This window comes from Homo sapiens, chromosome 7 (genome assembly GCF_000001405.40).
Source record: "Homo sapiens chromosome 7, GRCh38.p14 Primary Assembly".
Taxonomy (NCBI): Eukaryota; Metazoa; Chordata; class Mammalia; order Primates; family Hominidae; genus Homo; species Homo sapiens.
The window spans coordinates 103,467,352-103,487,788 of record NC_000007.14 but is presented as its reverse complement, the minus strand read 5'-3'; the positions used below and the strand labels follow the sequence as shown (position 1 = coordinate 103,487,788).

Sequence of the window (20,437 nt, the reverse complement as noted above, 5' to 3'; positions counted from 1 at the left end):
GCTCTTAAGAATCATCAAGTGTACATTAACCTGTATTTTCTACAACAAATCATGCTAGGAAAAAAGAAATTAGATAGGCCTCTCATACCAGGGTGAGAGTTCACTACTGAGACCCACCATTGGTAAACATTCAAGGCCCAGCCAGATGCTGTGGTATTTAAACAACAGTTTTACACGGCAAATACGGACATGAGCACTACGTGTTTTAGTAAACATTGACTCAAAGAAAATTGGATTTTTTTTCCAACAATATAAGCCAATAATTGCCAAAACAAAACATTTACTTTGGGAATCTGTATCTACTTAGTATTTTGCCTTTTTTTTTTTTTTACTGTAACAACATTCATTTTTTTTCCTGGATTTTGTTATATTTCTCTTTTTTTTTTTCTACTTTAAGTTCTGGGATACATGTGCAGAACATGCAGGTTTGTTACATAGGTATACATGTGCCAGGGTGGTTTGCTGCACCCATCAATCCATCATCTACATTAGGTATTTCTCCTAATGCTATTCCTCCCCTTGCCCCCTGCCCCAACAGGCCCCAGTGTGTGATGTTCCCCTGCCTGTGTCCATCTGTTCTAATTGTTCAACTCCCACCTATGAATTAGAACATGCGGTGGTTTGGTTTTCTATTCTTGTGTTAGTTTGCAGAGAATGATGGTTTCCAGCTTCATCCATGTCCCTGCAAAGGACATGAACTCATCCTTCTATATGGCTGCATAGTATTCCATGGTGTTTATGTGCCACATTTTCTTTATCCAGTCTAACATTGATGGACATTTGGGTTGGTTCCAAGTCTTTGCTGTTGTGAATAGTGCTGCAATAAACATAAGTGTGCATGTGTCTTTAGCGTAGAATGATTTATAATCCTTTGGGTATATACCGAGTAATGGGATTGCCAGGTCAAATGGTATTTCTAGTTCTAGATCCTTGAGGAATCACCACACTGTCTTCTACAATGGTTGAACTAATTTACACTCCCACCAACAGTGTAAAAGTGTTCCTATTTCTCCACATCCTCTCCAGCATCTGTTGTTTCCTGACTTTTTAATGATCACCATTCTAACTGACATGAGATGGTATCCCACTGTGGTTTTGATTTGCATTTCTCTAATGACCAGTGATGATGAGCTTTTTTTCATATGTTTGTTGGCCACATAAATATCTTCTTTTGAGAAGTGTCTGTTCAAAACCTCACCCACTTTTTGATGGGGTTGTTTGGCTTTTTTTTTTTTGTAAAGTTGTTTAAGTTCCTTGTATTTTGCCATTCTTACAGTAACAACTACTTAAACCTGAACTTGAATACTTGTTCTTAATCTTGAATGACTCTGGTTGGTCCACTTAATTTCTGTGACTGCTCCTTGTCCTCTAGGTGATGACTGCTCTGTTTTCAGTCACGACCTTCCCAGTTATATTAAAGATAATTTTGAGTCCGCAAGAGTCACCGAGGCAAACTGGGAGACCATTCAAGGTGGAGTCATAGGAAGTGGCTGTGGGCAGCTGGCCCCCTACGCCCATGGAGACTCACTGTACTTTAATGGCTGTCAGATCAGGCAAGCAGCTACCAAGCCTCTGGATCTCACTCGAGCAAGGTACCCAAACCTCCATATTTTAGTCCAGACATAGAATTAGTCACAAGCCCAGTGATTGTCCATTGTCTGTTAGATAGGATTGTGAACTTCATGGCACAGATGTCACTAAGCAGTGAAAACCTGTCATTTGAATTTGGGACAAGGAAGCATATATGTTTCACAACTCAGAATTATGTTTCGCTTAAATTTATTAGAGAATTGCTTTGTATTTCTTCACCCACAGTGGCTGAGTGGTGGTAATGTAGGCATAAACCCAGAGAAATGGCCAAATATTTTAAAAAATGGTTAGGGATAAACTACATAGATAATTTAATGTTGAGCACAGGCAAGTATATAAATATAAATGTGTATGTGAAATAAATTTGTAGCAATGCAAACATATGCCTATATTTAGCTTATGTAAGTACAATAAATAGAAATGGAGGATGGATGGATGGATGGATGGTTGGATGGATAAGACCTTTAAAATTTTATGTGCTATAATTGCTGAGGGTTAAATTGCTGAGGGTTAATGCAGAGTAGAGTGGGCAGAGACCTTGCAAATGGACTAGGGAAGTGACTGACAAAGACATAAGAAGGATTGAATTTCCTTCCCTACCTGCCCTTCCCAGCTTTGGCTACCTTAACCAGAGTAAACACAGCTTTTTGTCTATATAAATTCAAGAAAAGATTCTTAGGCTTAAAAAAGGTTGCTAGGTATTACTGTAGAGTATTTCTTGAATGCTGAAAAGTGTTCAGTAGCTATGAGAATATTTGAGAATTAGATGTGTTTGATTAATGGGAAGATAGTTTACATGAAACCTTTCACTTTGGAAAATATAATATTAGTGTTGTATTTTCACAAGCGGAAAGGCAGGTTTGGGGGCCCTTCATATGATAAACAATGAAAATAAAATTAATTCCTGTATGGAAACCATGATATAAGTTGCGTCTATCATCTTCCTTTTTTTTTTTTTTTTTTTTTTTTGGCCTGCCAAAAAGATATACTTAATCTAGAGATAACCTGGTGTTTTCTGTAACATCATCATATATAGCTGCAACTAGGTGCATAGTTAGCAATGGCACACTATGTTTTCAATTAGTTTATGCATTTATACGTTTCTAAGTCTAGCTCTTTATTCCACCACCTACTTTAAATTAGGTACTCTGTTAATCATGAGGAATCTTATGATGATTTATTTCCCATGCCTAAAAGGTCTATCTAGGGCAAGGATGACAATGAAAAGCAAAATGTCATGTTGAACAGAATAGCAGACATGGTTCAGAACCTGCACGTCCTAACTCAGTTTTCCCTCAGCTCTGATCTCCAGACAGCCTTTCCTAAAACAGTCATAATAATTTATCCCCATCCAGATGTGTTCAGCTTGGAGCTATTTGTAAAAAGAATGCAGCATAAATATTGTGGTTGTATTCCATGTCCTCTCCATGTCCTCAGCTGTCTGTTTGGCCCACGTTACCTTTCAGAGAATAGAAGGTGTTCTAAATGAAATACTCTAACAAGATTTCCAACATCATGAAAAGAGGATACATCTTTGAAAGTCGAAAATACTTTGTGTAGAAAATAAGCCTTATGAGGTTTTCACATGTATAATATAGAAGACAATATAAATAAATTTTGTTACTAACAGTGATGTAGTCGTAAGACTGGCTGCTTCACAGATGTGAGGGCGATCTGGCTGTGACATCTGTCAATTCATTGATCACCAGGGTTGATTCAGCTGATCCGGCTAGCTAGGCAGGTGTCCCCTTCCTCCCTCACCGCTCCATGTGCGTCCCTCCCAAAGCTGCGTGTGGGTGAAGAGGATGACCATCCCCAACAGGGGAGGATCAGTCTTTGGTCAAGGGTATACAAGTAGCTACGCTCCCCTGCTAGAATCTCCAAACAAGCTCTCAAGACTGGCTGCTTCTGTTTCTATTATATTATGAACTTGGAAATTATGGACTTTAGGAACAAGAAAAGATTAAGGAAGTATAATTCCTTTAATACTTCCTGAATTTAGTATAAAGATGATTTCCCAGCCGGGCACAGTGGCTTACACCTGTAATCCCAGCACTTTGGGAGGCCGAGGTGGGTGGATCACCTGAGGTCAGGAGTTCGAGACCAGCCTGGACAACATGTCAAAACCCCGTCTATACTAAAAATACAAAAATTAGCCAGGCGTGGTGGCGCACACCTGTTATGCCAGCTACTAGGGAGACCGAGGCAGGAAAATCGCTTGAACCCAGTAGGCAGACGTTGTAGTGAGCCGAGATCACACCACTGTACTCCAGCCTGGGTGACAGAGCAAGACTCCATCTCAAAAAATAAATAAATAAAAATAAAGATGATTTCCCTGTGTTTTTCAGCAAAATCATGTTTGTTTTGCAAATTGGGAGCATGTCGCAGACGGACAGCTGCAACAGTGACCTGAGTGGCCCCCACGCTGTGGACAAGGCAGTGCTGCTGCAATACAGCGTCAACAACGGGATCACCTGGCATGTCATCGCCCAGCACCAGCCAAAGGACTTCACACAAGCTCAGAGAGTGTCTTACAATGTCCCCCTGTAAGTGGCCCAAATGGAAAGGCATGGTCTCATGCACAATCCCTTTGTGAATCCCTGGGAATCACAAAGTTTGAGGTAGAAGTTGGGTAAAGTTAATGCACCAATGCCACAAAACTAGGTGGTGGCAGAACGAAGACTAACCCAGATCTCCAAAGTGCTGTTACTGTTTTCGATTAGGACAAGAAAGGCACAAATTAAAGCAAGGAATAAGGACAAGAGGGAATAGACAATAATAACTAAACGCAAGGGCAGTTTTTGCCGATTTCCCTTGTTTTAACCAGTTTTTCTAGTCTTAGAAAACATTTATTTTCTGCTGGTGTGCTAGTTTGAAATTTTACTGAGGTTAAGCAGTCATGTCAGTTTTGCTTTGCATTGTAAGCCCAGCTTCTAGCACAGTGTCTGTCACACAGAAAGCACTCCATGCTTGACCAAATATCTTCTGGATATTAATGGAACAAGGGAAAGGAGGAAGAGAGATGGAAAAGTTTTACAAGTCCTTGAGTAGCCAATAAAATTTAATGCTGCTCAGAAGAATACTATGACCTAAGCAAATCTGAATTCCATGCATAACATTTTGTTGATTTAGATTAGCCTATTATAATATTTGACATCTAGAAGTCAAATACCAAAAAGTTCTGTTTCCTAATGTATAACTTCTTTGTCCTTCTGTGTGTGACCCAGGGAGGCACGGATGAAAGGAGTCTTACTGCGCTGGTGGCAACCACGCCACAATGGAACAGGTCATGATCAATGGGCTTTGGACCATGTGGAGGTCGTCCTGTGAGTATCTATTACATGGCATCCCATGTCCATTTCAGGAAGGTTTGAAATTCCTTTGATATAGCATGACCCTTAATTCAGTAAGATCCGTTTTTGATGAGAAGCCCCCACAGGAGCACTTTGGCTTACACTCTTTTGCAACTGCAAGCTATAGCTCAAATCATCAGTGAAATAGCAAAGCCCCGAATGAAATGTAATGTACCTTAGAAAACTTCCATAAGCACAACATTTATTTAAGGGTTGACAATATTGGTTAAATTGGATAAAACAAAAGTCTCCAGGTAAATGGGAAACCATGTCTTAAGGCAGATCTGGGTTGCCTTATAAAATGAAATGACATCCTTGAAGAGGAAGGATCTGTAGTGGGCAGTGTCTGAAGTGTTACTAGCTAATGTGCCCAATTACAGACATTCTCCATTGAATGATGTGGTTGCAACTAGAACAAAGAGTTTGTGGTTTCAGATTCCTCCTGACCAATCCCAGCACCTAACAAGTTAAAGGTGTTTTTCCCTCTTTATATAATAAAGCTGTCACCACTCTCACCTGGCCGGGTTGACTGTTCCCTCACAGAGAGATGACTTGCTTTTTCTCTAATGATCTAGTTCCTGTAGAACTGGAATGCTTATGTCTCGACGGGTTCGGACTGATGGCTCCAAGTGGTTGGCAAGGAGAGGTGAATCTTCTCGGTAGATAGGTTCAAATGTTCATTCTGTTTACCAAATCCAAAATGAAATCAGTCCCTTGGCTGATTTCAGTCAATTTGCAAGCAAATTTAAGTGATTAATTGGTAGGAAAACTACCAGATTTGTTTTGGTTCAGTCATAGCCATGAGCTGAATTTTCCAGTCTTGAGCTAGCCCTCGTCTTAGTTTTCACTGAGGCACCTGCTTGCATGGCATCCATATCAACCCCCAAATCCAAGAGCAACCTGGTCCCCACACTAGCCTCCTGTGTGCGCTGCTGCTTTTGGACAACTTGCTGGGCTCTGCCTCCACAAGACAAAGTTGAAGTTTAAAGTAACAGTCCAGACTCATTTGAATCTAAATATGAGGCTGATGTTTTACTTAGATACTGATTTCCTCAGACTACGTTATTCCAGCAGAATAAAATAACCTGGGTGCTGAAATGAATCTATGTACAGTAAGGCCATAGAGAGATTTCCAAATAGACCAAAATCCAACCCTAGAACCATTTTACCCTGGCTACTTGCCTTTCAAAACAGCACTTCTCAATCTGTTTGAACGTCAAAATCATTTGGGAAGCTTTTGAAGACATCAAAAAATGTCCCAATGCCCAGGCCCATCCCTTTGGATGGGGCTTTAAATTGATCTGCAGTGGGAACTGGGCATCATTCTTGTTTTAAAAGCAGCTCAGGTGATTCTCATAAACTGGTAGATAATAAAATGAGAGTCAATAACCACTTCTTATCTTTCAAGTGGCTTGCCAATACAATTTGCATTAATGGGGCTTCCTGTGCCTGACAAAGCATTACCAAACTCCTGTGGAAACTTCAAAACCTGACAGTCCTCAAAAGAAGGCAGGATAGTAATCCTGCCCCTTGAGTAAACACAATAATTCTTAACATATCACACATTTGAGTAGATATTTTCATCCTGCCCAAACAATCAATTGCACTTACCTATTTTGGATTTCAGAGACATATCATCACCAGTAATTTCCTCACTTATACTAAGATTAAAAAGCAGGGGCGAGGGGTTCAGAGGCACCAATATACCAGCCAGTGTAAAAGCAACCCCTTCACATATTGGAAACAGGACTCTATTCCTTGCTCCCTGTCAACATGCTGCCTTAGAGGCTGTCAGAGCACCGGCAGGAAGCCTCAGCACACAGCACCCAAGAGAGTCTCCCAGGTCACCTGGTGTTGGAATTAATGCTTATAAGCAACTACCAGCATCAAGCTCCATATTTTAAATACTTTGAAGAATTTGTCATATACCAGGCTCTTATCCTGATAAGTCTGTTCTTATCCTGCATTATTATCTCAAACTCTCAGAGCACTAAAACATTTTGAATGAGACAAGAGCATTGCTACATTTGCATGGTGTTGTATGCTTTGAATTTTACTCCAAGTCTTCTTTCAGGAATAATTTAAAAATTATAATTTTATATGTACCACCATATGCTTTTATGTATATATAATTTCAAAAGCAAATGCAGTCTCTTTAATGACATTTCAAAAATTTGTTAAAGGAATTTATTTTCCTTCTTTTTGAAGAAAAGAAATAGCTCACAAAGCTACGTTCAATAAATGAGTTGTTTCAAAACATACATAATACTAAGATGTTATATTTCCAGAACTATGTTTTTGATGTTTTGCTCTGGTCTTAGAGTGTAACATTTCTACACCACTCTACCCTTTCAAAGTACTTCTTTTCAAAAGAGCCACAAAGAGTTTTAAGGCATTCATTAGTATGCAATTAGTAGCTCTACAAAATAATTACTTCAATTCATTCATTTGATGAGCGCAAAATAAAGTTCCAGATAATTCAAAAAATTAAATATAATAGTTTTCCAGAGTGTCCTTCAATCATATGAGGCACAAAGAAGCTAGAGCCAAGGTTCATGTCATGATCACAAATATTCTTAATTATAACTTTGCTTCAGAGGATGTATATTTAGAAATAGGTGGAATACCTCCATAAACCCCTATTAACTGAAAGCATTCTCTTAATTAACTGCATTTTTGTATCAGAACACTTGATTATTTGAACTAGCAATGTTAACTCCTCAAGCATGGCAGGGAGAGGAGCAGACTGAGGCTTGTATCTTAAGAGATACAAACCCTACGTAACTGTATGTTACAAACAGGGCTACTGATATGTTTTTGCAACTAATGGTTGGGGCATACATTTCACTTAGGAATTTTTAGAAATATACTTCTTTTTTTAAGTGAAGGTTGGCTTTAATCTAACTTTATTACCATAGTTTCGCTTCTGTGCATGTGCACCAAGGACACATGCTGAAAACCCTTAGAAAGAAAAATTATGGTCATGCATGGTATCTTATATTGAGTTTAACCTCAGTACTGCCCATATTAGCCAAGAAAACACAAGTTTAATGAGAACAAACTTAGCACTTTCAACAATATTTCAGGGTTTAAAAGTGTATCCTAAATGAACAAGATTTGTAATGTATTTTTAATTAAATGGTTTAATTCTAAAATACATGTGGAAGGATTTGATTTTCATAAATATGGACATACAGAATGACAAGCCCCACACCATAAAGATGAAAACCACCCTTTAGCATTTAACAAGCAGTCTCTCATGCTTGTTTGAGAGTGTAATCTTCCCACTCTCATATTTTCCAATAAAACCTGCACATGAAAAGCATTTCACGATGATTAGCCCCTGCTAATCTGCCGTATAACAGATTAACCGAATTGACAGATAATATTTTTCCAGCCTCACTAGCTTACAAAAAGTCCTCATTCCATAAAGTCTGAATGATGTGGCATAACACGATCATTGACAATCAAGTGTCAGAAACCTAATTTCTCTGAATTCATTTGCTAGCATAGAATATTTATTTTTCAGTATATGTTTATGAATACACTGGGCAGATCCCTCACAAGATCCATGCTGGTGAGGTTCTTCTTAGGATAAAAGAGAATTTGTTGTCTTAACCATTTTTGTTGGGCACTCATACTTCTATCCTAAGAATCTCCCTCACCCAATTCGCATTTCATTCACACATCACATTTCCTGTGTACGTGTCTAAGTCACACCTGTCATGTGTATAATGAAGTGGGCCAATTTTTGCATGTGTACCTTGAAAGCTCAGTAAAAAGCCTTCGTGAATGAATTTACTAAAAAGTGAATTAATACCACATTTACGGAGAACTGCAAACCTTATGTTGCTAACTATGGTCTTAAAAGCATTTATCAGAATTTAAAATGAGTTCCATCGTGACCATCCCCTCATGCTCTTCATTATCAAGATACTGTCACATTTTTGGCACAAATGATTTACGGAAATGAGCATATTACATTTGTTGCAAAGCATATTTGTCCTTTATTAAATATGATTGTGTTATCTGACATAGGAGACTTCTGTATTTTTTAAAGCCCATTCCTTAATATATTCAGGAATTAGTATTTCTTACAATGTAAAATAATTGAAAAATCAGATAATAAAATTAGTAGTTATTAAGCTATTAATATTTATAATTTATATGCAACATTTATGCCAAATGTAGTACTACAGCTACATGTACCTTAACATATGGTTATGAGCAAATATTGCATGTTACATTACATAGAAAAGTATATGTAGATCTTGGGTATAGAAGAATAAGAAATAACTTCTTTAATTTTTATTTTCAAAAGAGATGAAAAATCCTATATTGCGTCTAAACCTGATCAGACTTTTATGACTAATCACAGTGCTGCATGCATTGAAAGGCATTTTTTAACTTGTGTTATATTTCATTATTTGCTGTCATTGGTTTTCCACTAGAGTAAGGTAAGTCCTCCTTACTAAATCTGGGGAACTGTTTACTAATAGTTTCATCAGTGACACCAAACTTAACTGAGAAGTTTTGTAAAGCACCTTTGCAACTAAAAAAAAAAAAAAATCTATGAAAACAGTAATAAATGATACTGGTATATAGTGGAACATTTGAAACTTATTTCCATGTAAATTCGGAGTCAGTCAAATTGAGATAAGTCCCTAATATATACAATATAGGGCACAACAGCATAGACCAGAGTGCTAGTCAGCATTTCATCATTGGGCAACAGATTTGACTTAGATTCTGCTCTGTGCTTGACACCGTATTGGGTGCCCTTGAAGTGCTCACAGTTGATAAATTTGTTATGAGGGACAAGGGAAAATAGAAATGTGTGCAAAAGATTTAGGGACTCTGATTAAATGGAATGTCTTTCAAAAGACCTACTATGCTGAAGATGCATGAGGGTCCCTTGACTTACCAATTCTCCTCTAAGTTAATAACTGAATTGGCAGACGGAGTAGATGTATTCATAATACTTAGGAGTTCTAGATCTTGTCCTTAGGTAAGATTGGCCACTTTTAATATATTCTTGTATTTGTCCTCTGAGATTCTTTAAAATTTAAGAAGGCAAAATGGTTATAATTTATTGAACATCTATATATAGTGCTAGTTTTCATTTAATCCTTACAGCTCCCTGAGGTGCACATTATTGGATATTATTCTCATCCCCATTTAGCAGAGAAGAGAAATATGAAATCTTCAGTATGTGTGAGATGTTTGTGTCTGCACTTATTTATGCATAGCCTTCCTGAAAATGCATGGCCTTTAAGTCAAATGTGTGGCATCCTCTATGCAGGGAAGTTTCAGTGATAGTTTGAATGGCAGCTTCCTGCCTTACACTCACCAATATTTCTAAGATATGTTGAACAGTCCACTGGATTCTTATGTCTGCATTCATATAAATCATTATTTGTTCTACCATATGTTTTGGTGATAAATTACTGACAAGTAGAAATGCCTATATTTCTATGAGCTCAAATTAGTATCAATTCTCTATCTCCTCCATTTCCTTTAGAATCCATTAAAAAATCAATTGAATTGTTTTCATCATAATAAATGAACTAAGATTGTGTCTCCTTTAAAGAGTAACAGTTCAAAAGAGCACAGAGTCACTAGTTATTCAAAGATCTTGCAATGGCCATATTTCCTATGCAGAAACAAGGAAACACGTTATAATTCTATATGCCATCTAAGTCCCTAAACTCCCTTGGCAATAATGGACATTTACATTATCATTTCCAAGAAGCCTTTGTTGTTCATTCTCCCTTCTTTCAATTACTTACTCATAATGGAAGAATTTAAAAATGGACCTAGTTCTATCCACAACCAAAGCAAATTGATATGTCAAGTGGCATAGCTGATGTGCCTTGGGATGAACATTACCTCCTTTTATTGAACTTAAAATAAAAATTACTTTCTCTGGTAATTGCAGTGAATAAATAAATCTTTAAAAGTTCATTGCACTTCTTATTTCAGTTATAAGGTTATCTATAGCTGTACATCAAAATGTATCAAAAACAAAAAATAGGCTCACAAATATATCACACCAAAAAATGAGTAAATATAAGATAAATGTTAAAAATTCCCCTAATTCCCAATGCTGTTAGACATTTTAGAAGGTACAATAACTGTTTAGTAACCATGTCAATTTATTAAGTGGTCTTAGAGGCAGACAGCATTTTAGTATAGCTTGCCATAATGGTTGATTTTCAAAGGCTCATAAACTGGAAATATCCACTTCATTAGATTTCAACCTAACTGACTCAAAAGATTTTTATATTTCACATACCAAATTACCACCTAGTTTCCACGATGCTTTGATAGTGTGGTTTTTTTGTTTGTTTGTTTGTTTGTTTTTTGAGACAGAGTCTCACCGTGTCGCCCCAGGCTGGAGTGCAGTGGCACAATCTCAGCTCACTGCAACCTCTGCCTCCCAGGTTCAAGCAATTCTCCTGCCTCAGCCTCCCAAGTAGCTGGGACTACAGGCGCGTACCACCATGCCTGGCGTGCCACAACACCCAGCTAATTTTTTGTATTTTTAGTAGAGATGGGGTTTCACTCTGTTAGCTGGATGGTCTTGATCTCCTGACCTCATGATCTGCCTTCCTCAGCCTCCCAAAGTGCTGGGATTACAGGTGTGAGTCACTGCACCCAGCTGCCATTTTTAATGTGACTATATAAACACTAGGCATCTATAGCAAGTCCATTACTATATGCATATCAACATTCTCAGGAATCCAAAGATATGATACTGATACATAAACTTTTTCAAAATTAAAGAGCACCCAGGCCAGGCACAGTGGCCATGCTTGTAATCCCAGAACTGTGGGAGTCCAAGGCAACAGGATCACTTGAGGCCAGGAGTTCGACACCAGCCTGGCCAACATAGCAAGACCCCGTCTCTACCAAAAAAATTAGAAATATATTTAAAATCTTTTAAGAAAAAAATGTTATTTAAAAAAAGAACATCCAGTGATTCAAAATGTCCCCTAAATTGGTTTTAAGCTTCTACCTTGGACTAGTTTTTAGGGCACTAAAGATCTGCAACCTGCTAGTATTTATTTTCTCACCTATAAAGATGGAGACTTTCAATCAGCTCCATAATAAGTAAATAATTATATGGAGACGTTGCTTTAAAGCTGTTAAGTAAGCACATCAAGTTTTGTTAAAACTGAATGTTCTTTTGTTCCCATATATTAAGGTAACTTTCATGTCAATCTAGGTTGCATTGAGATAACAAAATATCTTGAGTGTTCTAACTTCATCTTTTTTTATGTAAAATATTTTAACTATTTTAAATTCTCTTTGAGTACCTTATACCTTTAAACGTGTTTTAACAGAATAATTTTCATTGCTTTAACTTTGCAATTATTCCTTATAGTTATAGAGTAATGATTTACAGCAGGAATCCAATCAGTAAGTCACCATAAGTTCAACAAACATGCCTTGACCACCCATGCACGGGTCAGGCAGGAGGCTCAGTGCTATGGTGCGGGGGTGGGGGGAGTTGGGGGACTGGCCCCCATACCAACAAAAGTTTAGTTGTGGGGAGCCAAGATATGAACACAAACTCCTTCAAAGCAGGAAATGAGCACTATGAGAGTTCAAAGTAAAAAAAAAAAAGTTCACTTATAGAGGGAGTAAACAAAGAAAATGTAATACTTGAACACGTAGAATCTAGGAAGTGATGTTGACAGCTGGCCAATGAGGCGGGTAGAAAGGACTCAAGGCGTTTGAGTAGAGCAGTTTGTATAGGAATGTAGAAAAATAAAGGGCAGAATAAGATTAAGCATGAAGAGGACTTGAAACGTCTGTTTAAGTTGGCTTAGCTGTTGCTCCATAGATAAGAGGATTCTGCATGGTTTTGGGCAAAGTGAAGCCAGTGTTTGAGGAAAAGTTTACTGAATCTGGTGTGCAAAATCAACTGCATGTATGTGTAGGAAGGTATACATGCACATGTATACAATTATGCATTCAGTTATACTTTCTTAGTATTTCAGGGGTTTCCTTTCAGTGGAGTTTTTTTTTTTTTTCATAAAAGGAAAAAAGTTAAGGAGGCTAGTTCAGGGGGCCACTATAATAGCTCAGGGAAAGAACTATAAGGCGACTGAGGATGCTGGCAGTAACACAGCTAGTTCCAGTCCCAAGATTTTGTGAATAAAGGAGCAACAGGATAATTTTTCTTGACACTTGATTAGTTCAATACATTAATTCCTTGGGGGTTTTTTTGTAACTCAATTTTACATAGGCAGCAGTTAGTACTTATAGCAGCTAATAAATGGATAAATTTGGGTCATTCAACTGTGACACTGAAACTGATCAACTTAGTTGATACATGTAATATTGTCACATGGAGGGGATGGGAGGGGGAGGATAGTAAATCTGCCTAAAGACAAAACCTGATTTTTTTGAAATCTTTTTCTCTATAATGTCTTCAGGATATATTCTTTGTTTCCATTTTATTGTTTCTAGCATTTTGATATTATTGAAATCTAGCAGGGGATGTTATTAGTACCTTTTTTATTTTATAAAATATGTATCAATTTGATGTCTTTGTATCAATATTTTAGCACAGATGCTATTGCTTTTTGATTATACATATCTGATGAAATTCAATTTATGTCTTTTCCTTTGAGATATTTTATTATAAATTTTCTAATGATGAAACTGTGAAATTATCTTGTTTTAAAGTTTATATTTTACAAGTGCTAGTATAATATGCCTAAGTATAATACCTATTATACTAGGTAAAATATCATTTTACACCTTACTAGCATATTGATGATTGATAATGCAGCTTATACTGCTCAGAACAAAATTACCCTTTCCCCCCTCTCCTACCCTAACTCAAGTTCATGTCATATTGATCTTTATGTTGGAATCACATCACATGACATTATGTACATTTTATGTCTTCATGGAATTAGGGAGAAAAGGCTTTGGGACCATGAGGAAACTCAGTGAATTTGAAATATACTGATAGGCTCACTCTCATAAACCACATATTGATGCCACATATGGATATATTGTCACTCAGGTCAGTGTGAGAATATGATCCTTTCAGTGATGTTATAGCTCACAATCCTTTTTAAAGGACTATACCAAAACATTAACAGCTGTCACTACTAGTATTGTACAGTTTCCTACAGGATCCTGAAATCCATCTTCAGTATTTTTATCAGCTTCACACACAGCATATATGTATAAATGTGTGTATGTACATATGTGGGGGAAAACATACATACATATTTACAATTATACATTTGGTTACACTTTCTTAGTATTTTATGACCTCTTTTCAGTGGAGTGTCTCTTTCCTAAGGCCACGTTTATAAAATATAACCCAGATGCTTATGGTTTGAGGAAGACAAGAGAATCCAACATTCTGAGAAAAACTGACCTCCTTATTTTGTCTCATGGGACTGCATGAACTAGGAATGTCAAGCTGATCCAGCTAACAGTCTGTTTCTTTGTTTTTAGTTTTTAAGCTTTAAATGAGAATGTTTGCTAAAGGAACCAAATTATTTTTCCTACTTGTTAAAGATATATTTAAATAAGGCAATGGGTATAGAGCACACTTCTCAAATGAAAGGTACCTAAGTAAATATTTTCAGGAAGCATTCAAGAATAAAATTAAAATTTAAAACAGTTTGCTTTTGCTATGAATCAAGAGAATTTCACATATTTTCTGGTTCAGAGCTCACTCATGAAAAGACAGGGATTTCTTCAAGGCCAAAGGCAGTGAGTATAGGTCCCAGCCTTTAGTTCCTCTGACCCTGGGTGGTAATGTGAGCATGACCTATTAACCCTGAAAATTTTCAAACAAATATCAGAGTAACTTAGGACCTAGAATAGATTGCACGTTCAATGATGGGACTTACATGCTCTTTTTCCTTTCCTTCCCTGCCTCTATCCTGTTTGATTTTAACAGCACTCGCAAACAAAATTACATGATGAATTTTTCACGACAACATGGGCTCAGACATTTCTACAACAGAAGACGAAGGTCACTTAGGCGATACCCATGAAGAATCAAAAAGTTTATTTTTTTTCTTCCAACATGTGATGTGTTGCTCTCCATTCTTTTAAATCTCGCACTACATCTGATATCAGGAAATATCTGTGAAGGACTTGGTGATTACCTGAAAGCCCTTCTCAAGACCGAGTGTACACCACTTTCCCACACTGTGAACTAATGACAAGTGACTTATTTGCTCATAAGTAAATGTCTTCATGTTGATGTGTCCGTGAAAGTTGTGATCTGTTGTAATATCAGTTACAGTGGCAGTATTGACAATAAGAAACAGTTTAACAGAAAAATGAAATTTAAGCACAAAAAATTTAAGAGATTTTATGTTTAAAATGGCATTTAGCACAGTATTTAACATTCTTGGTCACAAAGCTATTTAAGTGGACTGTATTTCGGCTATGTCTCATGTTTTATATGATTAAATTATCATTGTTTGTCCTTTATGTATTCTCTTCTACAATACAACACATTGAAACTGTATTTACTTGTTATGTTGTAATATTTTGCTGCTGAATTTGGGGCTACTTATATTCTGCAGAAAATTAATTGAAATACCTATTCAAGAAGATAGTTGTAAAGATATTGTATCTCCTTTAATATACTCCTTAAAAATGTATGTTGGTTTAGCGTTGTTTTGTGGATAAGAAAAATGCTTGACCCTGAAATATTTTCTACTTTAAATTGTGGATGAAGACCCTATCTCCCACAAATAAGTTCCCATTTCCTTGTCTAAAGATCTTTTTTTAAGTGTTCTGTGGCTGATTTACTAACAGTAACTGCCATTTTTTGTCTGTGATAACAGAGTGATTTGTAAAACAGTGGTTGTTTTTTCATTGTGTTTTCTTCGTGGATTGTTTTTTCTGCGGGTCATATTCATACCTTCTGATGAAGTTGTACAACACCAGCAACATTATAATGGCCCTGTAGCTCTGAATGCTATTTGTGTAACTGAAAGGTTGCACTCTAGGGTGAACCAAGCTATAAAAGCCCATGCTTAAATAAAAATTATGTCCAAAAGCCATTGAAGTTCATTGGTCTTCATTCATTTTTAATTAAATTTTATGTAAGATTTGCAAGGCTGGTCAGTTTGGAAGTTATGATGTCAAATATTTGCACCAGTTTTTGGTTTCATCATTGATAATAGCAATTAGAAGCCACATTTTCAATTTAGCCATTTTTCTCTTATTCACCTTTTTCTGCTAATTACTCTGTAATTCCACTAAGAAAAGTCAATAGATAATTCCAATAATGACTTCACTCCTGAGAATTTTATTAGCTGCTAACGCTTGTCTCATCATAAGCACTCATATGTTCATTGAGTAAATATTTATTGAGTATTTGCTATGGTCCAGGCACTGTGCTAAGTATTGAGGATAAAATGGTGATTGAAACATTTTCCCTTCTTGATTTTAACATCTACAAAATAAAAAGTATGTTAATATCATTGATTTTTGTTTTGTTTTACTTTCAAGAGGAGGAAAAAAATAAGAAAAAAAACGTTAAAACTAGAGGTTTCAGCAATGGCAAACTTTCTCAATACTTTTGACCCCTCTAATGCTGAGCCTAAATACTCCTACAATGAATGAACTAATATTTTAAAGAACAAATACATCCACTGGAGAACAGCACCTTTTAAGACACTTAAATGTGAAAGAAATAACTGATTTCAGAGGATTCTTCCTACCATGGCCCACTTTAGTCATTTTGTGTATGCAATCCTTCATCAAATATCTATTAAGGGATACCATGTGCCAAGCACGGGCAAGAGCACTAGAGATGGAATAGTGAACAAAAAGAGACACAATCTCTGCACTAAGGAAGGTCACAGTTAGTGGAGGAGGAAGGTATTTACTAATAATCACAAAAATAAACGGATAACTGGGTAAATACCTCATTAAGCACTAAATATTCTTTTGATAAGCATCTATTAAACATCTACCATACTAATGTACATTATTTGAGAAACTACCATGAATGAAACATGGTTCTCTTTCTCAATGTGTAGTCTAGACAGAAACTCAGAAATACCAACCAATACATACAATACTAAGAAGAAGGTGCTGCCATAGACATGTATTTTGGGTCTAATGGGCACATATAAACATCCAGACTGGGCAACATAGTGAGACCCTGTCTCTACCAAAAAAAAACCTTAAAATTAGCTGAGTGTGGTGGCATGCACTGTGGTCCCAGGTACTCAGGAGGCTGAGGTGGGAGGATCTGGCCTGAACCGAGCCCAGGTTGAGGCTGCAGTAAGCTGTGATCACACCACTGCACTCCAGCCTGGGCGACAGAGCAAGATCGTGTCTCAAAGAAAAGTAAAAAATAAAAAATTTGCAAGTGATATCATACTAAGTGATGAAAAACTAGATGCTTTCTCCCTAAATTCAAGAACAAAACAAGATATTTCCTTTTACCACTTCTACTCAACCTTATCCTAAAGATTCTAGCCAGGGCAATAAAGTTAGAAAAAGAAATAAAAGGCATCCAGATTCAAAAGTAACAAGTCAAACTGTCTTTATTGGGAAACAACATGACTATGTGCATAGAAAAGCCCATGGAATCTATGAAAAGCTACTAGAACTAATAATTGGGTTTTGTAAGATTACAGGATACAGAATCAATATACAAAGATCAATTGTTCATTGTTGAGGGGAATGTAAATTAGTATAGCCATTATGAAAAATGGCATAAAGGTTCCTCAAAAAACTAAAAATAGAACTATCATATGACCAAGAATACCACTTCTGGGTATATATCGAAAGGAACTAAAATCAGTATGTCCAAGGGATATCTGCACTCCCATGTTCACTGTAGCACTATTCACACAATAGCCAAGATATGGAATCAACCCAGGTGTCCATCAGTGGATAAATGGATAAAGAAAATGTGAGCCTGGGGGCTGTGGCTCATGCCTGTAATCCCAGTACTTTGGGAGGCCTAGGTGAGCAGATCGCTTGAGGCCAGGAGTTCGAGACCAGCCTGACCAAGATAGCAAAACCTTGTCTCTACTAAAACTATAAAAATCAGCTGGGCATGGTGGTACGTGCCTGTGATCCCAGCCACTCATGAGGCTGAGGCACAAGAATCACTTAATTCCAGGAGGTGGAGGTTGTGGTGAACCAAGATGGCACCACTACACTCCAGCCTGAGTGACAGAGCTAGCCTCTGTCCCCCAAAAAAAGAAAATGTGGTATATATATATATACACAATTGAATACTATTTAGCCTTAAAAACAAAGGAAATCCTGCCATTTGTGACAGCTTTTGGATGAATCTGGAGAACATTATGCTAAGTGAAATAAGCCAGGCATAGAAAGATAAACATTGCATGATCTCACTTACATGTGAAATCTAATAAAGTTGAACTCCTACAAGTCGAAAGTAGAGCAATGGTTACCAGAGGCTGGGGATGGGGATGGGGGTGGGGAAGGAGGGAATGGAGAGATGTTGATCAAAGGATACAAAATTTCAAATAGACAAAAGAATAAGTTTTGAGATCTGTTGTACAGCAAAGTGACTATAGTCAATAATAATTTATTGTATATTTCAAAACAACTAACAGTAAATTCCCAATGTCTTACTATGAAAAATGATAGGTAAGTGAGGTGAAGGATATGTTAATTAGTTTGATTTAATCCTGCCACATTGTACACATATATCAAAACATTGTACCCCATAAATGTGTACAATTATGATTTGTCAATCAAAAACAATAAAAAGATATGTTTTAAAAGATCAATTACAACTTTGTGCAATGGCAGTATCATAGCCAGTGGGATTTATCCAAAGCACAATTATTGCTAGATGAAAAGATCATTGTATTTCTACATACTAGCAATGAACAAATGTTTTTTAAAACTCTTCTTAAACATTAGTTTATATTAAGTGTGAGCCAAGGTAATAGGACAAGTGATTAATAATTAAAATGACAAACCAGGCATGGTGGCTCACATCTATATCCCAGCACTTTTTAGGAGGCTGAGGCAGGAGGATAGCTTGAGCCCAAGAATTTGAGACCAACCTGGGCAACACTGCAAAACCTTGTCTTTACTAAAACTACAAAAAATTAGCCTGGCATGGTGGCAGCATGCGCCTGTAGTCCCAGCTACTCAGGAGGCTGAGGTGGGAGAATCACCTGAGCCTGGGAAGCAAGGCTGCAGTGAGCCGATCTTGTGCCACTGCATTCCAGCCTGGGTGATGAGAGTGAGATTCTCCCTTAAAAAAAAAAAAAAAAAAAGTTTTAAAAATTCATGATAGTGGTTACCTCAGTTAGGGGAATAAGATCAGAGAGGTGTATGCAGAAGATCTCAGCTCTACTAAAATGTTTTATTCCTTTTTTAAAAAGTCAGAGTAAAATAGAATAATGTTAAGGTTTAAATGAATTGCGTGCATACAAAATTTTTTATTGTATTATTCTCTATTCTCACGTGAAGATCTAAATATAGCAAAAAATAAGGAGAATCTATCAAGCCGACTCAGTGGGAAGATATATTCTAAAAATAAAAGTATGTGCAAAAACGCAAAGTCAGGAACTAGCTTGGCTCCTCAGGGGAGACGCGTAACATTGGATTTGAGGGGCTTACAAGAAGCAGCCTGAAAAGATGGGGAGGGGCTGGTGTTGCAGGAGTGAGAGATGGGGAGTAATTTCTCATACTAACAAAGTTCAGCTTTAATCAGGAGGCATTCACTGGAAGTTATTGGAGGGTTTTAAGCAGATGACTTTTGATCAGATCACTCTGGCCAAGGTGTGGAGAATGGCTGAAGTGAGTGAAGAAGAGAAGGTGGGAGACTAGAATTTACAGGTAGTCCTGAGATAACAGCTAAGGAATACTTTTAAATTGACAAGAATTTTGCTAAGGATTCATACTTCTCCACAGTAACTACAAACTGCTCACCTACAAAATGTAATAATAAAGACAAAAAGTAACTATGCATGTATGTATTGTTCAGGAAAAAAATCAGCTGTTATTAAAAGAATTCCATTTCAGAGGTGAGAGGGTTTGTCATGATTACTGTTTCTTCCATGTAGTCCTTTGGGTGTTTATTATAAATAAATGGTTATAGTTGGTTTTTTGTTTTGTTTTGTTTTTAATAATCCAATATGGCTGTAAACCGATGCTGCCTTTATAGACATGGGAGACCATGTAATGACAATGGAGTGTCTGCCACTCTCCAGTGGCCCTATTACCATATTCCAGCACCTGGATCCCCTGTCCCAGAATTCATGCCAGTGCAGCTAAGAAGGAGAAGATAATGTCTAGAAAATATAACTTTTCATGGAGAGAGTACTGGTAGAATAATATATGGAGATATGTAAGTGAATAATAAAAAGGCACAGAAATGTGTGTAAGAAATATTGCCTCATAAACCTAGAAACAGTAAACTAACTTATATCAAAGTTATTACAATACTCCCTTAATGTTACTAACCATAGAAAGCAGATGCAATGAGACAA

General features: G+C 36.9%; 1 protein-coding gene, 1 long non-coding RNA gene and 1 pseudogene across 3 annotated transcripts in view; 2 read left to right on the top strand and 1 right to left on the bottom strand.

Annotated features, from left to right (window-relative positions):
* Positions 1-16,000, top strand: part of RELN (reelin) — a 517,870-nt gene extending 501,870 nt beyond the window's left edge. Inside the window, exons 61-65 of one of the 2 annotated variants that reach the window (NM_005045.4) lie at positions 1,373-1,592; positions 3,939-4,136; positions 4,818-4,916; positions 9,395-9,400; positions 14,881-16,000. In NM_005045.4, coding sequence (NP_005036.2) covers positions 1,373-1,592; positions 3,939-4,136; positions 4,818-4,916; positions 9,395-9,400; positions 14,881-14,977 — 620 coding nt within the window. In that variant the 3' untranslated portion in view covers positions 14,978-16,000. The remainder of the gene's footprint in view (positions 1-1,372; positions 1,593-3,938; positions 4,137-4,817; positions 4,917-9,394; positions 9,401-14,880) is intronic. The other variant, NM_173054.3, reaches the window with a different exon arrangement.
* Positions 1-20,437, bottom strand: part of SLC26A5-AS1 (SLC26A5 antisense RNA 1) — a 68,801-nt gene that overhangs the window by 26,219 nt on the left and 22,145 nt on the right. The gene's annotated exons all lie outside the window — the stretch shown is intronic.
* RN7SKP86 (RN7SK pseudogene 86) lies at positions 3,251-3,487 on the top strand (annotated as a pseudogene).